Source organism: Homo sapiens, chromosome X, assembly GCF_000001405.40.
Source record: "Homo sapiens chromosome X, GRCh38.p14 Primary Assembly".
NCBI lineage: Eukaryota > Metazoa > Chordata > Mammalia > Primates > Hominidae > Homo > Homo sapiens.
In genome coordinates, this window is record NC_000023.11 from 108,145,996 (window position 1) to 108,165,162 (window position 19,167).

Consider the following 19,167-nt stretch of genomic DNA (forward strand, 5'->3'; position numbering starts at 1 on the left):
GCCAGTGTCCAGTAGGCCCTGAAATGTCTGATCATTTCCCTTCCCCCAATGCACAGTTACCCTGCTAAAAGGCCGGAGGTCTCCTTGGGGAAGGATGGGAGAGCGATTCACTGCATAAATTGTCAGTAATATAGTGAGGTCCTTCCTCAAGGGGACCCGGCCTCCCCTTCATTCAAGGGGTTCTGGGTCTGTAAACTGGCTCAAGTCTGGAAATTGATTGATGGGCTGTGATTCTCTGTTTCTGTAATTCAAATTAGTCTTTTGTGCATTCGACCTAGAAGTTTTCTGCTTATATAAATTAAGTAGGAATGCAGTAGGCTTCCTATCAATTTCACTTCTAGGAACACCATGATTAATTAGCAAATGCCAGAGCTCTACACGAGTCAGACTATTCTGATTGCAGTAGTCTGAAAGCAATAGTCAGACTATTGCTTTGCCTCTGCTGTCCATTACGGTAGCTATGCCCACCTTGCCTTTGATGGTTGAGTGCTGCCACTTGGCCCCTGCCACCTCAGGATCCAATTATTCCCATTATATTTAAATTTTGTAGTTGAGTGATACAGTTCCCACTGTTAGATCTGACATACAGAGAAGAGCAATTACAGTACTCTTCGAAGATGCATGTTCTGCCCTCACAAATCTATTTTGCAAGGCATTGGTCAAGGGTATATCTTCTGGACCCTCCCAGCTGGGATGAATAGGTCTGAAGTGACTAATCCACTCCACCATCCCAATCTCCCTAAGCCTTTGGATCCCTTCCTCTACATAAAACCAAGGGAGATCAGGCATTTCCATCTCGTTCACAGTGGGCCATCTTTTAATCCATATTTCAGCTAACCAAGCAAATAAGCTATTAGAACCTTTTTTAACTCCCCGAGCTGCAACATTAAATGCAGAGTCTCTAACATAGTGGGCCCAAATCAATAAATTCAGCCTGATCCAACTCTGTGTTCTTTCCACCATTATCCCACACCCTTAATATCCGTTCCCATGCCTGTTCTCCAGGTTTCTGTTTATATAAATTAGAAAACTCAAGCAGTTATTTTTGAGTATAGTGCACCTCCTCATGGGTCACACTCTCAACCTCACCTCCAGGAGCCCACCAGGACTTTAGTCTAGTTGAAGTCTGGAAGCAAACAGGGGTGTTGGGGGTGGCTCCTGAGGAGAATCAACATTATCTTGCCTGGCAACTGCCTCAGAGGAGGCCATCACTGTTGCTTCAGGCAGCACAGGGTTTATCTCCTCAGTCAAAGGTGGAAAGGCTGATGACAGCATGGGCCGGGGAGGGGATATTGCCACTACTGGAGATGGGGAAGCTGTTTCTTCTGGCAAAAAAAGTTCATCAGAGTTTACAAACTCAGTGTCCCCAGCTTCATCAGGGTCCTCCCACACGTTCCCATTCCAAGTTGCAGGGTCCCATTCTTTTCCAATCAATGCCCTCACTTTAACAGTAGACACCTGGCGAGGCTGTGCATGCACCTTTTGTTGGAGGCCAGTCACTCGCATGATAAGAGCTTGTGTCTGTTTTTCCACAATTTCAGCTCTTTCTCTACAGGAGATAAGACTCTCACTTAGGGCAATCTTAGCAGATTTTAGGTTCAATATCTGCTTCTGAAGCCTGGAGCTAGAATCCCTGAGTTCATCATTTTCTTTCATGACTTTGTCCACTGAACTTAGGAGCAACCAACTAGCTTCATTATGTTCCTTGGTTTTCCACGTATGGTCAATTGTATTATGTATAGTCACTGAACTCCTTGCCTCTCACGAGCGATGATTCAGGTGTGTCAAATGCATTTATTTTGCATAACTCTCTAAACAGTTCACACCAAGGACTATCAGTGTTCCCTATACTATTAGAAGTACAGTCCTTAGCATTTTTGGGTCTAATCATATTAAATAGCCAACTCCAGAAACCCCAAAACCAATGAAAGAACTTCATCCTTAATATTCTGTTCCTCTAGAACAACTCCTGGTACCAAAATCTGTATCAGTCAGGATTCTCTAGAGGGACAGAACTAATGGAAAATATATATATATATATATATATATATATATATATATATATATATATATATATATATGAGTTTATTAAGTATTAACTCACATGATCACAAGGTCCCACAATAGGCCATTTGCAGGCTGAGGAGCAAGGACAGCCAGTCTGAGTTCTAAAACTGAAGAACTTGGAGTCCAATGTTTGAGGGCAGGAAGCATCCAGCATGGGAGAAAGACGTAGGCTGGGAGGCTAGGGCTGTCTCTCTTTTTCACATTTTTCTGCTTGCCACCCTGGCAGCTGGTTAGATTGTGCCCACCCAGATTAAGGACCGGTCTGCCTTTCCCAGCCCACTGACTCAATGTTAATCTCCTTTGGCAACACCCTTGCAGACACACCTGGGATCAGTACTTTGCATCTGTCAATCCAGTCAAGTTGACACTCAGTATTAACCATCACACAGAGGGAGACCCTGTCTCAAAAAAAAAAAAAAAATGATGCAGCTTGTAAAGCTCCACTCCATGCACATACACACACACACACACACACACACACACACCACCCATGGGAAAAGGTCCTGGTCAGAGTCAGAGAAGATGTTATTATTCTCAACACCTTAACTCCAAACATCCCATTAGATGACTCAGTTCTAACCCTGTTTTGGCTTTCTGTTTTCTTGCCTACAACTTCCTTTCCCTCAGACCTTTCTGTGGTCTTAGGTAGGCTTCCTTCTAGCCATCTTGGTTGCTCTTTAGTGTAATCTGAGGCTTTTTCAGTATCACTGATCTTGCCCACCTGTGGTCTAGGGGAAAAACATCTACCTTGACTTTCATAAAGCAAGTCATATGGGGGGATTGATTTCTATATACTCTTAAACATGCATTTGTAGGAAAATACTGTTGATTTGCAGTAAAATATTTCTCTGGCCACTTTCTATTTGTATTGTGTTTTAAGGATTTCACAGAGGTGAAATCTTCTGGTCCTTGTAATATACCATGAGGCAACTAGAACAGGCCCGATGACCCTAGTTTAAAAACAAGAAAATTAAGACAGAGTGAATTAAGTGGTTTGTCCTTGGTTTATGACAGAAAAATGTTAAACTTTTCATGAGACTTCAGAAATGAACATATTCTTTGCTGACAGAAACATGTAGATGTGCCCAACACAATCCTGGATACCATTCCAGAGGGAGTCTTTGGGGCATCCCTCCCTACCCCAGTCTTTGGCAGCAGGTAGATCTCTCCTTGCTCGCCTGATATAGCTGAGCACACAGAGAACCAGATGGCCCTCAGGCCCGGACAGTGAGGCTGGGGTACCTCTTAGGCACTTTTGCCTCCTCAGCCTGTGGCTGATGAACATTAGAGGGACTGTCAGCCCTTTGAATACCAGGTCAAAGCAGAAATTTTATTATCCTAAACTCCTCCCATGTTATTTTGGGGCTAGACTTTTTCAATTTAATGAAGCATAGCTTATATCTCTTGTGTCAAGGTCAGTCATCTCAAAGTGAATTTTCCAAGTGAGCTGTATCTGTACTGATGTCAATGTGACAAAGGCAGTGCTTTCTGACAGGAACTTACTAACTTGCTAATAAGTACTAACTTGCTAGCTAATCAGGACCAGAAGTCAGCTCACTGGTTTCTCATCCATAAAGAGTCAGCATTCCCATTCCATAAAAAGTCAGCATTTCTTTTGAAGGTCAGGACCTCCTCCCTTACCAGAGGTGCTTTCTGAGCATGGGGCTGAGAACCAGCAGTCTAGCCTGAGATGCTTTCCAATGTCAAAAGAGGCAGAAAGCTCCCTAATGGTACCTGGGCCCACGACCTGGTGACTCCACCTACCGCCTCTTTGCTACTGCTGCTCACAGAGCCTGCCATGCCATCTGTGGTCTCTCATTCCCACATTTTCTCAAACCTGTCACTTTCCATTTTGGGACTTGGACTTTGAGGAGATGTAAATGCTAGGGCACATCTTCTCATTGAATGATAAGATTTGGGCGCAAGTGGCTTCCTTTAAGCATGCTCACCCTGGCTTCAGGCTTTCTGTCATTCCATTCTCATTGTCACCAAGGGAGGGGTTAAGAGAACCAGAGTGCCTCCTCCCAACAACAGCAGTGGGCCAGGACCGGTAATCCTTTGAAGGTTAAGCATATCTCCTTCAAAACAGGTGACGAGCTCATCTTCTTGGACCCTCATACAACCCAGACCTTTGTTGACACTGAAGAGAATGGAACGGTTAATGACCAGACTTTCCATTGCCTGCAGTCCCCACAGCGAATGAACATCCTAAACCTGGATCCTTCAGTTGCATTGGTGGGTATTCGTAGGTTGGGTGGGCCAGGAGATACGATGTGTACAGATTGGTTCCCTGGGAGTTATCCAGATTGCTAGGTAGGAAGGCAAGAGTATGTTTGCTCACTATCCCCATTAGAGGCAGTAGAGTGTAGTGGGGAAGGAATGGACCCTGGAGCCAAACTGCTCCAGTTGGAATCTTGGCTCTGCCACTTACTAACTGTATTAGTCTGTTCTCCCACTGCTGATAAAGACATACCTGAGGCTGGGTAATTTATAAAGGAAAGATGTTTAGTTAACTCACAGTTCCACATGGCTGGGGAGGACTCCCAATCATGGTGGAAGATGAAGGAAGAGCAAAGGGATGTCTTACATGGTGGCAGGCAAGAGAGCTTATGCAGGGGAACTCCCATTTATAAAACCATCAGATCTCATAAGACTTATTCACTACCACAAGGATGGTATGGGGGAAACCACCCCCATGATTCAGTTATCTCTACCTGGTCCCACCCTTGACACGTGGGGATTATTACAATTCAAGATGAGATTTGGGTGAGGACACCACCAAACCGTATCACTAACTACGCACTTAGGAGGAGTCACTTAATCTTTCTGAGCCTCAGTCTTCTCATCTCTAAAATGAGGAAAACAATAGTTCGTTCCTTATGGGGTTGTATGAGGTGCAATGCATGTAAGGCACTTAGCACTGGGCCTGGCACATTGTAAGCATTCTATAAATGTTAGTTACTCTTTCCCCTGTTTCCTTCTTGTCCTCAAATTATTGCTACCCAGGCACAGGGAGGAAGATGGGATATCACTAGGGAGAGATAAGGGAGCAAGATGCCCTGGGTGCACACAATCTAGGAAGCTGCAGGATTTTCCCCCAGAAGTATGGCTGGTGTCTACACACACTGAAGGGGCATCTGCCTGTGAAGTAGCTGGTGGTTCTGAGGCCTGTCTGCATCCTCTCCTCTAGTTTAATCCAATTGTCAGTATACCAGTGACCAGGAGCTGCAAGTCCTCCTCTTGTGAACCATTCTTTCACTACTCTGGGATGGATTTGAGGTTGAGAAAGCACAGACTGATGGTTCTCTCTATTCTGATAGATAATTTCCTGAAGGTCAATGCCATCTTCTTAAGTATTGCCTCTAGCTAAAAGTACCATTTGGCTTTTGTTTGTTGGCTTAATTGAATGTTCTTTGGAGATGTGTGTATTTGTACACTGAAAGTAATGGAATTAACCCTACACTTTGAAGATGATCTTCAAGTTAAAATATCTCGCAGCATGAGGAAAGAGGGAAAGGGACAGAGAGCAAGGGTGAGAATGAGAGCAAGACTGAGAGAGTGATATGTATGTCTGAGTAAGGCAATGAGTTAGGAGAGAGAGAAGCCCAGGCAGTCTTCCTTCTTTATTGCTGAGAAGTCACATCCACAGAGACTGGCCCACATCCTAATTCTGGGCCAACAGCTCCATTGTGCAATACCAAAGGTAATTCTAAGTTGTGTTCTTTTGCTTTCCCCCAAGGGATTTTTCTGCAAAGAAGAAAAAGACTTTGATAACTGGTGTAGCCTTGTTCAGAAGGTAAAGCTATATGTTTTTCTTAGTCTGAAAAATGAAGTTACCCAATTTTATTCCTTTTCAAGATTGTTTTTCATAGTAAAAAAAAATCCTACTCTGATACGACTTTACTGCAAGAGAAAGAAACTAAGGCAACAAAGAAACTATCAGGTGTGGGGAATTGTGCATAACTTCGGGGAAACTGAACAAAAATTTTGGTTTGAAATATGCTTAGCATGTCAAGGGAGTGATATTTTTAGTGATGAAACCTAATGTTTTATCTCATTAATAGACAATTATTTTCTAAAGGCAATACTTACATTTTAGAATGCAGCAAAACTGTATTTATGTCACATTTAAAGGTGGAATGAGAATTTTCTGATAAGACTATGCCTTTTATTTTATTTTATTATTTTTTGAGACAAAGGCTCGCTCCGTCACCCAGGCTGGAGTGCAGTGGCGGGATCTGGGTGCACTGCAACCTCCGTCTCCAGGTTCAAGCGATTCTCCTCCCTCAGCCTCCCGAGTAGCTGGGATTACAGGCGCCCACCACCACGCCCAGCTAATTTTTGTATTTTTAGTAGAGACAGGGTTTCACCACATTGGCCAGGCTGGTCTTGAACTGACCACAGGTGATCTGCCCACCTCGGCCTCCCAAAGTGCTGGGATTACAGGCATGAGTCACCGTGCCCAGCTAAGACTATGCCATGTAAATTAGGATATATACCATACATGTTGGACTGCCACTGAAACCATGCCAATATGTAGCAATAGTCTCTTGGGGCAGATTTAATTTCACTAACTGACATTTCTTTGGAGCCAGTGCTTCAGGAACATGTCACCCCTAAAGTGAGCTGGACCCATGCGTCTGGCACAGGCACTATGCCTCATGATGGAGAATAGGCAGTGAGTGCTGGCCTTCATCAGATACTCCCCGCAAAGTCCTTCCTTCCTGGCTAAACAGTATCTAGAATTGAAGATGGCTGAGTCTTCAGATGGTTCAAGTAGAGGATGCATGTATTTTCTAGGCCCCTGTTTTCACCTGGAAACCAGCAGACCACTGTCTCAGGGTTTGGGGTCAAAGATTGCCAATTAGAAATGTTGTGACTCTGAAGTATTTAAAACTGTTTTGTCATCTCCCCAGGAAATTCTAAAGGAGAATTTAAGGATGTTTGAATTAGTTCAGAAACATCCATCACACTGGCCTCCCTTTGTACCTCCAGCCAAGCCAGAAGTGACAACCACTGGGGCAGGTAAGCTGTTGTTCAATGGCTCTCAGCTAGCAGACCCACATATAGCAGTTGTTTTATGAGAAAGAAGAATTGTGGCCCATGCTTTCTGTGGACAGTAAAATTTCTACTCAGCTGGAGTGATAAAAAAATGGCACTTCTGGTTATTTTAATCTTCTGATGAGCTGATATTTACCAATTTCAAAGAATGATAATAGAAGAAAATGAGCTCATTGCAAAAGTTCTATGCAAAATCAAGATGACTAGGATTGCTTTTTCATGGTCTGGTTCAGAATAGCAAATTGAGGCCATCGATAATTCAAAGGTATCTTGAAGGGCTTTCAGAGCCTTGGCCACATCACCGTCGTTAGGTTTATGTAACAAGTCTGGCTATTTTGAGTCTTTATAGATAATTTCTAATACTTGGCAGTAGTTCTAATTGTAAGTCTCCTCCACACAAGTCTTTCTTTAGTACAGCAATTAAAAATGCTTAGTCTTAACTACTGAGTAAAGTATTTACTGACCACTTCAACCCAAGTGTCAAGCTTTTCTTCTTTCTCATTTCCGTATTCTGATAGAATTCATTGACTCTACTGAGCAACTGGAGGAGTTTGATCTGGAGGAAGATTTTGAGATTCTGAGTGTGTAGAATCCTGGGAACTCAACTTGAAGGTCTGTCTTCCATCTGGCACCATAAAAACATGAACTTATTGCATAAAACTTTTCTAGTCAGCAAGTGCCTGATATGCCAATAGCATACAAACTCAATAGCAATCATGACTGAGCCAATCACTGTTTCTCAGAAAAACAAAACAAAACAAAACAAATGACAGTAACCCTTCCCCGGAAAGAAATAGAACAATCATGGAGCCTAGGAGCAGAGAGATGAGGAGGAGTTCATTGCTTCCCAGCTTGTGTTATATGGCTACAGCAAGTCTTCAGCTGCTGCAATGAGGAAATGGGCATCTGGAAGACAAACAGCAACTCTCAGCTTGCTTCAAGAACCAGCAGATAAGAGATGGTTAAGCTGTTCTTCACCCTTTCAGATGTGACCTCTTTTGGACTAAGCAGCAATCTGTTCTCTTGCTCAAATAATAAAGTGACTGAATCAGGGAGGAAAAGGTTCTTGTTAAATTATTTGATTGTGTAGTTGAAGTAATTATAATTTATATCAAAACGTTTGTCAAAGAAACGATGTCAAATATACACTTCTTGATCTCCCTTCTGTTTGCGGGGATCTTACTATTTGATGGGTCACTGTCCCCATTCTTACTGATACTTTTGTCAGATATCACCCTGTCCTTAAATCATGATCACTTAAATCAGGGGTCAGCAAACTTTTTCTGTAAAGGGCCAGACGGGAAATATTTTGGGCTTTGCAGGCCATGCGGCCTCTGTCACATCTACTCAACTCTGCTGTTGACATGCAAAAGCAGCAATAGACAATATGCGTGTAAATGAGTGTGGCTGTAATCCAAGAAAACTTTATTTACAAAAGCAGGTGGAGGGCTGGGTTTGGCCTGCAGGCTGTAGCTTGCCAATCAGTGACTTAAATTGTTGATTTTTGTTTGATAAATTAAAAATAAATTGTGTTTGAAGTATACCCTACTTGGTTGACAGCCATATTTAGAATTATTCATGTGGTGAATTACACATTTTATCTGTGCATCATATACAATTCCAAACCATTTGAGGCTAGCAACATAATAGGTTTTAAAGCATGTATTCATCAAATTAGCTTTGCTAACCACTTTCCTGTGAGGATGAACCTCAAGCCCCAGCAGTACCTTCTCATTTTCCTTTTCTTGCTTCCTTAACTTGCCTGCATTTCACCCCCATCCTTAATCAAGTCCCGAGGAAGGCCAGCAACTGGAAGCTAGCACCAAACCAATCTGCTTGTTTCCTTAGATTCCATGTTTTTCTTTTTCCCCCCGTATATTCCAATGGTTCAAAATTCAAAAGATGTAAAATGATATTCAGTGACTTGTCTCTCTCTCCGATAGGTCAGTTCCCTCCCTTGGAAATTCCCAATGGTATTAATTTCTTGTTTATCCTCTCAGAGGATATATTTTATACATATATAAATATATGCACACACACACACACATATACACACACACACTCATACACACACAGCTTGGATTTGATTTTAATGACTTTAACATTCTCTACTTTTGTTTTATCTACAAATGATCCTAAGGCCACAGAAGTATGAAAATGCCTTTCTTGAACTCTTTTTTTATTCAAAAAATTTATTTATTTTTATCAACCTACATCATGCTTTGATATGTTGAACTCTAGCGTGTGACAGGGATAAAAGCAGGCATAGGCTTATCTTGAAGCAGCTTATGGGTTTGTTGACTGTTTGTTAGAGGACTGTTTCAGCTCTTTGACTTTGATCATCTTCTAATTTTTTCCTGCCTCAGTGTTTTGTTACAGAGTTCGACTTGGCAGTAGCAGAAACCTCTCAGGCTCTGAGAGGGACTCATAAATTGCAGTGAGATGGACATTAGAAAAGTTTTCATAAAGGAACATCAAAAGAGTCACATGTTCAGATTTCATTTATTTTATTTGCTATGTACAAAACTGACACCATGCTTATTACTCAGGAGGTAAAGATAACAATAATTCAGATTATATTGATTATGCTTTGTCTGTATTGGCACAGTTTATATAATACTTAAGGAAACAGAATCACCTGGAAGGAACTGCCTCATGTCAACATAGCTAAGAGTGTTCTGGAAAACTGGTAATTAAAGAAAATGGCTAAAACAAATTCCCCCAAACAGAATACAATGTACTGCATAGCCAATTCAGGCTTGCTTTAGGTCTGCTAACTGCTCAAGAGAAGAGTGTGCTAGATTTTTATGAGGTTTAAAAAAACATATTAAAATAGTTTAATAGGCTACCTGTGAAAGAGCAATTGGATAACCATTTAACAAAGTCTTTAACATCCTCAGAATACAAGGAAACCAACACTGTGCAGCTTCAGTTTGCCACATTGCACACATCTGGATGGCATTTGGAATAAACAGGGACTTCTGAGAAACTGGGATGTGGGATTTACCTTTTTGTTCCTGGAGTCAAAAGCAAAACTCACACATCCTTACGCACCCACCCCTCTACTTCTGGCCCAGGAAAAAAGGCTGTCATTCTCATTTCCTTTGATAGGCTTGGCCACATTTGTTGCATCCTCTGCTTTACTTTGAACCAGGCCACATCCTCTGTCTCTGGCTGGAGGGGGAGCCGGCAAGGAGGAGATGGTTTGTCTAGGACCATATGCCATTAATGACCACCACCCCCAACCCAGCTGCTGGCCTTCAAGCCTCTCTAAGCCATGTGGGGCCCAGTCTTGCTCATTCTAGAGAGAGCTAAAGCTCACTCTGGGCTACTGGGTGGCACCTCATTTCAATTCTCTTGCCTGCCTAGACACAGTGGGCCTCCTTGAAGAGTGAGGACTTGCTCTGTGCAGACTTGAGCCATCCATGAATATTCGGTTAGAGAATTTAAGTGTGGAAACACTGGGTTCTGGTTTAAGCCAAATAATGTGTGCTGACCTCTGTACATGAAGAAATGACTGATTAGCGATTAGGAAGAGCTTTCCGATCAAGACGGTAAGGAGAAAGCTAGCAGTCTAAGACAGTTGTGGCCCATCAAATCTTTCTGAGGTAGCCATGAATAGTCACACAATCATCCAAATCAAACAGTAGCACCAGCTTGACAGAAACAGGACAGCAGATCTCAGCAGGGTGGGCTCATCTCTATGGACCCGAGGGCTGGGGTGACGAGTGTCCGGTAGTCTAGCCCAAATGAGACTCCAATGTACAACTTGACAGGCAAAGGGGCTCAGGCCTTCCTTCTTCAGACCATTCAGGTTTGTGAGGTGACTGTTGTGAGGGGCAGGGGAGGGCAAGGGGCAGAGTGGCAGGTGCCACCCTACAGGCTTTTCATACACACCTGGCAGCGACTGACTCGAGTGTGGAGCTGCCCAGCTTTCAGCGTTTCAGACACAGGCAACTCCCCAAACTGCTGCCTCTCCTCCACTGTGGTCAACCAGAAACTGTACTTGTTTGCAAAGTAGTGGCAGGTGCCTCGGGCACCACTGCATTCGATGAAAGGAGTGGCCCGAAAGTCCTCTAGGCAGGAGCCAGGTGAGACCAGGGACTGGCCTCCACCCTCGGCACCAGCGGCAGTGTGCTGAAACAGACAGGAGATTAGTGCATGAGCTGTGCCTGCCAAGGGTTGGTGTGGGGAGGGGATGGGTGCTCCACTGCTACAGGGGCACATGAGCTCCATTCCTAAGCCCTGGTTCCTTGTCTCAGCCCCCAGTTCAAGCCAGCATACCAAGAGCTGTGTTTTAGGGGCAGGGGCTGCTTGTCCTCCCTCATAGCAGCTTTCAGGGCCAAGAGTGCCCCCTTCCAAGCTCCCTAGTGCCCTCCTAACCCATTATGTGGGCAATGACTACATGTCAAGCAGCAATTCCCAAACTGCTACTGTCCCACTGGGTTCAGAGGTGTGTTAGGTACCCCCTTGCAAAATTTCCTCGGACAAATGGATCTGAGAAAAGCTGAGTGAAGGAAAATTCAATAGGCTTCTGGACTGCGGTTCTCAGAGCCCTCTCTCAACCATGCATTGTACTCTAAGAAGGGAAAGAAGGACAGTCCAAAACCTACTGAAGTTCTCCTTAATTTGTTGTATTTGGCCCAAATACCCTGGCCCTCACCTCAGAGGGCTCTCTCAGTATTCAGTTTCAGGGCTACACATGAGCTGGTGGTTTTCAGTTACTATTCACATAGACAGCAGCTCCTGTCTCTCCACACTCCTGCCTGTTTCTCTTCACTTTAGCCGGGCTATCATCTGGACCACAAGGAGATAGGGAAGAGGCCTAATACACAACCGTGTCAGCAAATGGCCAATGAGACAAATGCCCAAGTTGGCACACAGGGACTCCTTACTTTGCAGAACTTTGCAAGAGTGAGAGTCTGCATGGGACCTTTCAGGTGACCTTTCCTGACAACCGAAGCATCAAAATTTTCCTCACTTTGACCCTGAGAATCAAAAACTTTCTAAGATGCACAACACATTTTCCTGCTTTGCTAAGTAGCAGACACTAGGTTATTTTAAACTTTGCAGATGAATCAGGCTTGTCATTGTGAATGTCAGTTTTTGTGGGGGATGATTATGCAAGAGCCCCACACCAAGGGGTACGGCCCGTAGAATCCTTGGGCCTCCTTTGAATTATTTTCTCCTTTTTAATAGGTATGTCTCATTGCTTCAAGATGCCTTGCTAGGCAGTCCAACTTCTCACCCTTACATATCTTCAGGAATAATATTCTAGTATGTTAGAATTAATGTGTAAAGGAAGAGTAAAGAGATTCTGAATAAGGGCTAAGAGCCCTCCCATAAGCAGGGCACATGAGATTTAGTACACAGCATTTGTACCATTTCCTGTGGAAGCTCAGGGGCCTCTTCTTATTTCCTGGTCAGGGTGGTGGACAGGACAGAAGGACAGGTGAGGTGATTCTGTATTACACTGGGATAAACTATCCAATGTCCAAAGACACAGCATAACAAGGAAAAGTACCTTTCCCCAGGTAGGTACGCTAATGTTGGGGAGCCTGCAGCTTTGGTCATTTTTAAAGACACTCTCTCACCATCTCACCCTTGGCAATTCAACAGAGAAGCTCTGGCAAGGCAGAGTACTTCAATGGGTGCCACAGTGGTTTTCTCTGGGGGATGTCCTGACCCTAAACCTGACCTTTTATTTGAAGAAACATCCCCAGGTATTCACAGGATATTATGTGAGGGACTTGATGCCTCTTTGGGCCTGCAGATATTCTTTTTCTTAGCAAGACACACAGCATGGCTGGCCGCTGCCTTCACACCGAAATGGAGAGGCAGCAAAAATACCAGCAAGGACATATAAACACAGCATGCACTCATCAAAGCCTTTTGGGAGGAGACAGCAGAGGCCAGAGGGATCTGGGAGGGTGGAGAGAAGAGGGGACAGTGCCATGGCTGGACTGATTAGTGAAACTGTGTCCTGGCCCCAAGTGGTGACAGCCTCTCCCTCACTGTCCTCCCAGATCTTAGTGTGTTTTGCTCTTCCCTTGGGTGTGGCATAACTGAAGCGGGCATGGAGACGGCGGGGCATTGACCTATGACTCACAGATATTCTAGCCCCTGAACCACTGGGTGCAAACTGCTGTCTTTCCGCTACACCCATAACTACCTGCCATTCATGCAGAACTGGGTTCTCCATTCTTTAGCCAAGCCCAGTCCAAGCATTTCTCTTCTTTTCAAACTCTATGCTTTCTACCTGGTGTCCCTTGAGCCTGGGAACCAGTCCAAGGGGCCCTTTGCCTCCAACTGGGGGAGGAGACAGTGCAGGACCTTACCATGAGGAAAGAGTACCCAATCCAGAGGCTGCGCCAGCCCAGGGGGCACTGCGGGATGGTGATGTCCTGGCTGTGCACAGCAATGGCTTGCGAGGGTGCCTCACACACAGAGCAGCGGCTGATGTACTGGGGAATCTGGGTCTGGCTGACGGGCATCATGGGGATAGGGGCGGTAGTGGAGAGCCAGTAAGATTTATCATTGCGCCTGGCATAGTGGCACACCTCGTTGATGTTGCAGTAGATGAAGGGCATGGTGCTGAAGCGGGGCAGACAGGAGCCAGCAAAGCCTGGAAGGAGAGAAAGTGGGCAAGGGCAGGGGAGGTCTGGCTGAGGGGCTTTGACGAGATGGTGGTTTGGGTTTACATCCAACCACTTGCACCAGACTGAGGCAGCCCTCTCCTTCCAATCCTGTAACATTGTACATGTGCTGAAGTGTGTTGAGCAAATTCTATTTTAAATGCACCAGGGAAATTTGATAATAACAAGAATCTTTTTATAAGCTGTATAATTCTGCCCTAATTAATCTGCTTTGAAAGAAACAGCGTTTAATAGACTGAGTCTGCTTTTAAGATTTAGCACACCTGCAGACAACAATTAATTCTCAGGTAATCATCATTGCCCTGCAGGTCATATTATTATTATTACTACTACTAATTGCTAACATTTAATGGATGCTTAAATGCCAAATGTTGCTCTAAGCAATTTACATTGGGTGATTGATTCATGCAATCTTTCCACCAGCGTGTGTGATAGATACTAGAATTAGCTTTGTTCCATTAAGGAGGAAGCCAAAGCCTAGAGAGGTTGAATAACTAATGCAGTGTACACAGCTAGTAAGTGATAGAGCCAGGATTTGAATCCAGATCCACCTGACTCCAGAGCTGATGCTTGTAACTCACTACACAACAGTGGACCTAGAAAGGGCTGGGAGAAGAGAGGGGTTGGCTGTTGGTGTTTGTGGGGACAGGTGACCAGGGCTGGCTGTCAGAGCTGGTACCTACCCAGGTCCTGGTTGTGGGCTTTCTCTTGCCCCTCCACAAACAGTAAGCTGTACCCCACCCACAGCTGGCTCATCCCGATGGGACACGGGGGCACCTGTTCCGACTGGCTGTGCTTTACCAACGTGTAGCCCACTCTCATGCTCTGGCCAGGCATTCCAGGCATCCCGAAGGGGCCTTGCTGCCCTGGAGCTCCTGAGAGAGACAGATCATAAAAGGTGAGTGTGGTGCAGCTAATGACAACATCAGCTACTCACATTGTACCACACATTGTCCAAGGCATGTTATACACATGTATTATCTCACTCAATCCTCACGATGACCCTGGAAAATGGTATTACCACCCCAATTTTTAGATGAAGAAATTGAGGCTCAGATGTCCTACAGCTAGTAAGTGGTAGAGCTACAACTCTATCTCAGATGTATCCAGCTACAGACGCCCCATTTTTCAAAGTACATTGTTAGGCTTCCTTCCCATAGCCACCTGGCCTTGGGGTCTCTCTGAGTGGGGATTAGGGTGTGGAGAGGGATACTTCTCAGGTCCAGCCTTGCAGGCCCTCATAGGAGATAACTATGTAGCTGCTGAATCAGAGTCATCGAAAGCAGGGTTAGGATTAGCAGGGTAAAATCTTGCCCTCCTCTCCTGCCCATGACAGACATGACAAATCAACTGCCACAGTTTCCCACCGAGCCTCTGAACTGTTCTCTACTCAGGACAACTAATTTGTCATCCCCAATATAAAGTGGGACACAAATAGAAGAGGTATATGGACAGCCACGCCTTAACTCAAGTGTTGTTATCCCTTGAACATCCCCCTCTCATGTGTGTCAGAATCCCTGGGTAGAAAAGGGGAGGTAAAGGGCAGGGGGCCATCTGTAGTATAAAGTCAGACCTTTTAAGCACTGGAAGAGAGCCCAGAAAAGGATTTGGATTTGGAACAGTCCTTTGCCTTCCAGAACGTAGGGTATCCCTTCACAGGCTCAGAGGGTAGTGGGGAGTGAATGGACTTAGAGCCCAGTTTTTGAGCATCTTAGGAGTGTCAAGCTCTACCACTGGGTTTATTAAGTTTCAGACTTGAAGTTTTACTCACCCCCAGCCTCAAACCCTCCCAGACCACCATCCCCGCCCCGCCCGCCTCCTAATGTGGCATCATCAGACCTTCAAATCCTGGAGGGCCTTGCAGTCCAGGCAGACCAGGATCACCAAGAGCCCCAGGTGGGCCTGGGAGCCCACTGGGGCCATCTTTACCGGGGATGCCAGGTAAACCTTTGGAGCCTGCAGGAGAGAAAGCCCAAAGGAGGGTACTCAATGTAGAGGGTCCCCAGGCACCTTCCCCAGGAAAGGGGACTTATGTGTCATGCCCAAGACTCACTAGGAGACGATGCACTTGGCTGTCGACTTGGTGTGCACACTGCACATCAAGGCTGCAGCCGCCTGGGCTAGTTCTTAGTTCATGGGGGCATCTCTGCCCTGGGGCAGTGCCCTCAACTTAGCCTTTCTGAGCCCCTTCATGCCCACTTCCTCCTCCCTTCTTCTCATCCTCCTAGCAACAATGGAAATTATGCAGGGCAACGGCGAGCATCCCATATCAGAAATGAGGACACCGAGGCTGGGCGCAGTGGCTCATGCCTGTAATCCCAGCACTTTGGGAGGCCAAAGCAGGCAGATCACCTTAAGTCAGGAGTTCGAGACCAGCCTGGCCAACATGGGGAAACCTTGTCTCTATTTAAAATACAAAAATTAGCTGGGTGTGGTGGTATGCACCTGTAGTCCCCGCTACTCCGGAGGCTGAGGCGGGAGAATCACTTGAATTCGAGAGGTGGAGGTTGCAGTGAGGTGAGATGGCACCAATGCACTCTCAGCCTCGGTGACAGAGCAAGACTCCATCTCAAAAATAAAAAAAAATAAAAAGAAGAAGAAGGAGGAGGAGGAAGAAGAAAAGAAGAAGAAGAAGAGGAAGAAGAAGAGGAGGAGGAAGAGGAAGACGAAGAAGAAAAGAAGAAGAAGAAGAAGAAGAGGAAGAAGAAGAGGAAGAAAATGAGGACACTGAGACCCAGAGAGACTTCTAACTTACTCCAATTAGAGGCCAGGTTTTCTGTCCCCCAGCCTTGGACTTTTTTCATTGTCTTGTGTGGCCCTTTATTCACCACCACACTCCCTCCATCTCTCTGCAGCACATTAGAGAGGGGCGAGTGGTCTGGAGTAGCAACCTTGCTCTGCCCTCACATCCTCTAAAGCCAAGTACCAAGTACAACCACCCTGCTGGTCCTGCTGGCCCTTCTTCTCCCCAACAGGAAGCTTGGGAGCTTTGTGAAGGAAGAGAGGCAACGCTTGATGAAGACACACCCTTGGAGGTGGACATCCAAGCCAGCCTCTCAGCCAAACTGTCTCAACTCCCCAACAAATCTCCTTTTTCTGGCACCCTCCTCACCTTGTAGGCCTACAGGGCCTTGAGCCCCAGGGTCCCCAGTGAGGCCAGGGATGCCATCGATCCCTGGTAGACCCAAGGGTCCAGGAGGAACCTGGACAGCTTCTGCAGTTGGTGTTTGTCCAGGATCACCTTGGAGGCCAGAAGAGCCTGTGGGCAGGTGGGGGAAATAAGAACATCAGGCTGAGGCAGAGGGAGGTGACGGGGGCCCCAGAAGCCTTCTTTACTAACTTGCAATCAACAGCTTTCTATCCTGTTTGTCCCCACAGGATACCCGGGTATCTCCAGGATGGCACTGTGTGATATTATACAATCTTTATCCATCTCTCTCCCCAGTGGTTGGGTAGCTCCAAGAGGGCAGGAACTGGGTCATATTCATCCTGTCTCCTCAGGGCCCAGCATTGTGCCCAGTGGGTGACAGGCAGTCCAGAAGCATTTGCTGCTAATATGGTGAGCTGAGCCTTCTCTCAGGGCTGGGGTGGCTGGTTTACTCACTGGTTAGAGCACAGTGCCAAGGAGGCTGAGGGGACGCTTCTAACCCCAGAGGTTCAGTTGGCATCCCAGCCTAGGAACCCGGCGCCAGCCAGCTGCCTTTCTAATAGCATAATTTGCTTAGTAAGTCATTGAACAAATATTTCCCCAGTGCTTATTATATGCCAGGGTCCTGGTAGCTCTGGGGATAGAGCAATGAATATGACAGACATTTATGGAGATTATGGTCTGGTGATGAAGATGAATAATGCCTAACTCGACAAATACTGTTAATCTGAGTGTAAGTTGGGAGAAGTGTTGTGGAGGAAAGGACTAACACAGGGACACTGGGAGGGAGCAGAGGGTGGTATGGGGTGGAGGCATCTGTTTTAGAGAATGATCAGTGGCCTTTTGCAAGCAATGACATTTAAACTGAGACCACTAAAACATTAGAAGGACTTTGCTATTTAAAGAGTAGAGGGGCAAGTGCACTCTGGGAAGTAGAAGTAGCATGTGCAAAGGCCCTGTGGTAGGCCAGGACTTGGTGTTTTTGGATAACTGAAAGAGGCCAGTATGGCAGGAGCACAGTGAGCAGCAAAGGGGAAGGGCTGGCCATGAGGATGAAGAGGGAGGCATCACACAGGGCTTTGCGTGCCACGGTGAGTTCATTCCTACGCCATGGGAAGCCACTGGATGATTTATGTTTTTATAAGCTCTTTTTGGCCACTATGTGGAAAAGTGACCACTAGGGTCGGGGGAGGAAGGGTGCTGCATGAGAACTATTGGTGGCTTGGATCTGGGGGTAGCAACCAAGGTACTGCGAGGTGAACAGATGCAAGGCACATTTAGGAGGTACAAGCCTCAGGGCTTGCTACTAGATTGCATGTGTGTGAGTGAGGGTGGGAAAGGATGCAAAAGACGGTTCTTTATTTCTGAATTGAGCAAACGGGTGGGTGGTGATCTGAGTGCAAACCCAATGCCCACTAATGCAGAGATTAACACAGAGAGGCAGTCAGTAGCAGGATCCATGGTGGCAAGGCAGCAGTGGTCTTCAGTCCTGGGAGGTGATAGAGGCTGAAGGATCCCCAAGGTAGAGAAACTGCCTCTCTGGGGTACCTTGATCCAGCTGTTTTAGACATCCAGACTTTCTTGGCGTGGTGAGCAATGATGCCTGAAGGAACCTTACCACCAGGCCCCTCCCTCGAGCTCTGGATCAGCCCAGCACATGCTCTCAACTTACCTCTTGGCCCTGCCTTCCCCTTCATTCCGGGAAATCCTGGGTCTCCAGGTGGCCCAACCTTGCCTGGAGTCCCCATGAAGCCAGGCTCACCTCTCATGCCTGACAAAGCCCAAAGGAAGCAAGTCAGGTCCCGGCATGGTAGGGGTGGTAGGGGTGGAGGATAGGCAGGGGTGAGGTAGGGAAGAACATCAGCCACCGGCCTCTCTTCACAGGACTGCAGGAAGGAGTCCTGGCCGTGGAGTGGGGAAGGGCCCAGCAGCCAGCCGAGCAGCCGTACCTTTCAGTCCTAGCTCTCCAGGGAGGCCAGAAAAACCTGGAATTCCTTGGTCTCCCTTAGGCCCTTTAGGTCCAGGAATTCCAGGGAAGCCAGGGTCTCCGGTGTCGCCTTGATTCGAGGATGGCCCAGGGGGACCTGGGGGTCCAGCGGGGCCTGGGCGGCCTAGGGATAAGATCGGAAGAGGGGCGAGGGGCAGGTGAACAGGTAGTAGCCACTGCAGAAGGCCTAGGGACTGACAGGACTCCAAAGCCCATTCCCAGGACAGAGAATGTTCCCTCACCATCGG

At 46.2% G+C, this 19,167-nt stretch overlaps 2 protein-coding genes across 21 annotated transcripts in view, besides 1 other annotated feature; one reads left to right on the plus strand and one right to left on the minus strand.

Moving 5' to 3' along the window:
- ATG4A (autophagy related 4A cysteine peptidase) overlaps positions 1-8,676 on the plus strand; it is a 65,843-nt gene extending 57,167 nt beyond the window's left edge. For all 12 annotated transcript variants that reach the window (NR_135608.2, XM_047441801.1, XM_047441802.1 and 9 more), the window contains 4 exons: positions 4,157-4,302; positions 5,807-5,863; positions 6,984-7,092; positions 7,647-8,676. Coding sequence is in view for 11 of the 12 variants with exons in the window: in XM_047441801.1 (XP_047297757.1) it covers positions 4,157-4,302; positions 5,807-5,863; positions 6,984-7,092; positions 7,647-7,717 (383 nt within the window). In the remaining variant the exon portion in view is untranslated. The remainder of the gene's footprint in view (positions 1-4,156; positions 4,303-5,806; positions 5,864-6,983; positions 7,093-7,646) is intronic.
- Positions 9,619-19,167, minus strand: part of COL4A6 (collagen type IV alpha 6 chain) — a 283,845-nt gene continuing 274,296 nt past the window's right edge. For 8 of the 9 annotated variants that reach the window (XM_047441813.1, NM_001847.4, XM_011530852.3 and 5 more), the window contains 7 exons: positions 18,882-19,043; positions 18,605-18,703; positions 16,897-17,043; positions 15,624-15,740; positions 14,468-14,659; positions 13,467-13,753; positions 9,619-11,265 (listed from right to left, as the gene is read on the minus strand). In XM_047441813.1, coding sequence (XP_047297769.1) covers positions 11,005-11,265; positions 13,467-13,753; positions 14,468-14,659; positions 15,624-15,740; positions 16,897-17,043; positions 18,605-18,703; positions 18,882-19,043 — 1,265 coding nt within the window. In that variant the 3' untranslated portion in view covers positions 9,619-11,004. The remainder of the gene's footprint in view (positions 11,266-13,466; positions 13,754-14,467; positions 14,660-15,623; positions 15,741-16,896; positions 17,044-18,604; positions 18,704-18,881; positions 19,044-19,167) is intronic. The other variant, NM_001287760.2, reaches the window with a different exon arrangement.
- Positions 10,627-11,127: an enhancer, noted in NCBI's record as "H3K4me1 hESC enhancer chrX:107399852-107400352 (GRCh37/hg19 assembly coordinates)". NCBI's record gives its function as "activates a minimal SCP1, AML or CMV promoter by ChIP-STARR-seq in naive H9 embryonic stem cells {active_cell/tissue: H9 hESC(naive)}" and the evidence as "EXISTENCE:reporter gene assay evidence [ECO:0000049][PMID:30033119]".